Source organism: Homo sapiens, chromosome 13, assembly GCF_000001405.40.
Source record: "Homo sapiens chromosome 13, GRCh38.p14 Primary Assembly".
In the NCBI taxonomy this organism is placed as follows: Eukaryota; Metazoa; Chordata; class Mammalia; order Primates; family Hominidae; genus Homo; species Homo sapiens.
In genome coordinates, this window is record NC_000013.11 from 81,727,819 (window position 1) to 81,731,074 (window position 3,256).

The following is a 3,256-nucleotide window of genomic DNA, read 5'->3' on the forward strand; positions in this document are numbered from 1 at the left end:
GCATTCCAATCACGAAGATGTTTCTGTATTGTTTTCCAAATAAACTTCAGATGTAATTGAATAAAACATCATATTCATTATCAATCTGAAGGAGCCCACAAATCAGTTTTTTTTCCCCAAAACTTGTGCCCATGTTTGTTGACTACGTTTTTCCTGTAACAAAATAAAGATAAGAGAAATAGATTCATTATGTTAACACTGGGGGCCTGGAGATAAATACATTTCTAGGACATTTTAGGAGTGATTTTGTTTTCTGAACCAGCAAAAATCCCAGTGATTTCCTAAGAAAAAACGATTACTATTTTTGATTATGTTTTTCCCTTAAAGCCAATTATTCTCTTTTGTTTCTTATTTTATTTCAACTTGTTTATAATAGATATGGATTTAAATTACATATTTAAAAATAACAGCTACATTTTGACGGATAAGACTATAAAAAACTATAACACACTAAATGTATTAAAAACAAAATTTATAAAGGCATCTTTTAATAGCACAAGATTGCTGTTTTGTAAGACAAAACACATGCTGATAAAAAGATTAGCTCATATCCATTTGTCTGGTACAGTGATACTATACAAATCCTGGTGTTCCAAAAAATATTTGCTGAAGAGTTTTTTTAATGGAATATAAAAACATATTCGATAGAAGAATTCATTTCTCTAATTTGGCCATCTCCAATTTGGAAAATATAAAAAAAAATTAACAAATGGTAATATATGTTGAAGAATACAGCGAGAAAAGAGAGGAGGAGGAGAGGGTGAGAAGAACAAGAAGATAAGTAATTAGGGTGACTTTATAATCTTGGACTAAAAAAACAAACAGAAGACTGAATAGATTCTCATAAGTTTCTTGCAGAAGTTGCCAGAGTGTAAAGCATTCAACATGTTTTGAGATATTAAAAGGAAGAAAGTGTATGCAATCATTTTCATATAAATTTTTTCATTAAAATTATTACCACCTGGAGAAGTGTTCCTTGAAACACAAATGGAGGAAATGTGCTTAAGTTTTAAAAAGTGTGAGGCTGGGCGCGTTGGCTCACGCCTGTAATCCCAGCACTTTGGGAGGCCGAGGCGGGTGGATCAGGAGGTCAGGAGATCAAGACCATCCTGGCTAACACGGTGAAACCCTGTCTCTACTAAAAATACAAAAAAATTAGCCCAGCGTGGTGGCGGCCGCCTGTAGTCCCAGCTACTGGGGAGGCTGAGGCAGGAGAATGGCACCAACCCGGGAGGCGGAGTTTGCAGTGAGCCGAGATCGCACCACTGCACTCCAGCCTGGGGCGACAGAGCCAGACTCCGTCTCAAAAAAAAAAAAAAGTATGATACTCTCTACAGTCCACACTCACTTGTAATAATGAATTAGTAAAAAAGAAATAAGATAATGATTAAAAATAAGTAAATATTCTGGTATCTATAAAAAAGGCATTGTCCAAAATTGAATATAGAAATAGTGTTTAATATATAGATTACACAAGTTCTATTTTATATATATACTTTAAGTTCTGAGATACATGTGCAGAACGTACAGGTTTGTTACATTGGTATATATGTGCCATGGTGGTTTGCTGCAGCCATCAACCCGTCATCTACATTAGGTATTTCTCCTAATGCTATTCCTCCTCTTGCCCACCATCCCCCGACAGGCCCCAGTGTGTGATGTTCCCCTCCCTGTGTCCATGTGTTCTCATAGTTCAACTCCCACTTATGAGTGAGAACATGCAGTGTTTGGTTTTCTGTTCCTGTGTTAGTTTACTGAAAATGGTTTCCAGCTTCATCCATGTTCCTGAAATGGACATGAACCCATTCTTTTTTATGGCCACATAGTATTCCATGGTGTATATGTGCCACATTTTCTTTATCCAGTCTAACATTGATGGGCATTTGGGTTGGTTCCAAGTCTATGCTATTATGAATAGTGCTGCAATAAACATACGTGTGCATGTGTCTTTATAGTAGAATAATTTATAATCTTTGAGTACATACCCAGTAATGGGATTGCTGGGTCAAATTGTATTTCTAGTTCTAGATCCTTGAAGAATTGCCACACTGTCTGCCACTATGGTTGAACTAATTTACACTCCCACCAACAGTGTAAAAGCATTCACGTTTCTCTACATCCTCTCCAGCATCGGTTGTTCCCTGACTTTTTAATGATCGCCATTTTAACTGGCGTGAGATGGTATCTCATTGTGGTTTTGATTTGCATTTCTCTAATGACCAATGATGATGAGCTTTTTTCCATCTTTGTTAGCTGCATAAATGTCTTCTTCTGAGAAGTATCTCTTCATATCCTTAGCCCACTTTTTAATGGATTGTTTATTTTTTGCTTGTACATTTGCTTAAGTTCTTTGTACATTCTGGATGTTAGCCCTTTGTCAGATGGATAGATTGCAAAAATGTTCTCCCATTCTGTAGGTTGCCTGTTTACTCTGATTGTGGTTTCTTTTGCTGTGCAGAAGTTCTTTAGTTTAATTAGATCCCATTTGTCTATTTTGGCTTTTGTTGCCATTGCTTTTGGTGTTTTACTCATGAAGTCTTTGCCCATGCCTATGTCTTGAATGGTATTGCCTAGGTTTTCTTCTAGGGTTTTTATGCTTTTAGGTCTTAACATTTAAATCCTTACTCCATCTTGAGTTAATTTTTGTATAAGGTGTATGGAAGGGATTCCAGTTTCAGTTTTCTGCATATGGCTAGCCAGTTTTCCCAACCATTTATTAAATAGGGACTCCTTTTCCCATTGCTTTTTGTAAGGTTTGTCAAAGATCAGATGGATGTAGATGTGTGGTGTTATTTCTGAGGCCTCTGTTCTGTTCCATTGGTCTATATATCTGTTTTGGTACTGGTACAATTACCATGCTGTTTTTGGTTACTGTAGCCTTGTGGTATACTTTGAAGTCAGGTCGCATGATAACTCCAGCTTTGTTCTTTTTGCTTAAGATTGTCTTGGCTGTACAGGCTCATTTTTGGTTCCATATGAAATTTAATGCAGTTTTTTCTAATTCTGTGAAGAAAGTCAATGGTAGCTTGATGGAAATAGCATTGAATCTATAAATTACTTTGGGCGACATGGCCATTTTCAAGATATTGATTCTTCCTATCCATGAGCATGGAATGTTTTTCCATTTGTTTTGTCTTTTCTTATTTTCTTGAGTAGTGGTTTTTAGTTCTCCTTGAAAAGGTCCTTTACATCCCCTGTAAATTGTATTCCTAGGTATTTTATTCTCTTTGTAGCAATTGTGAATGGGAGTTTGCTT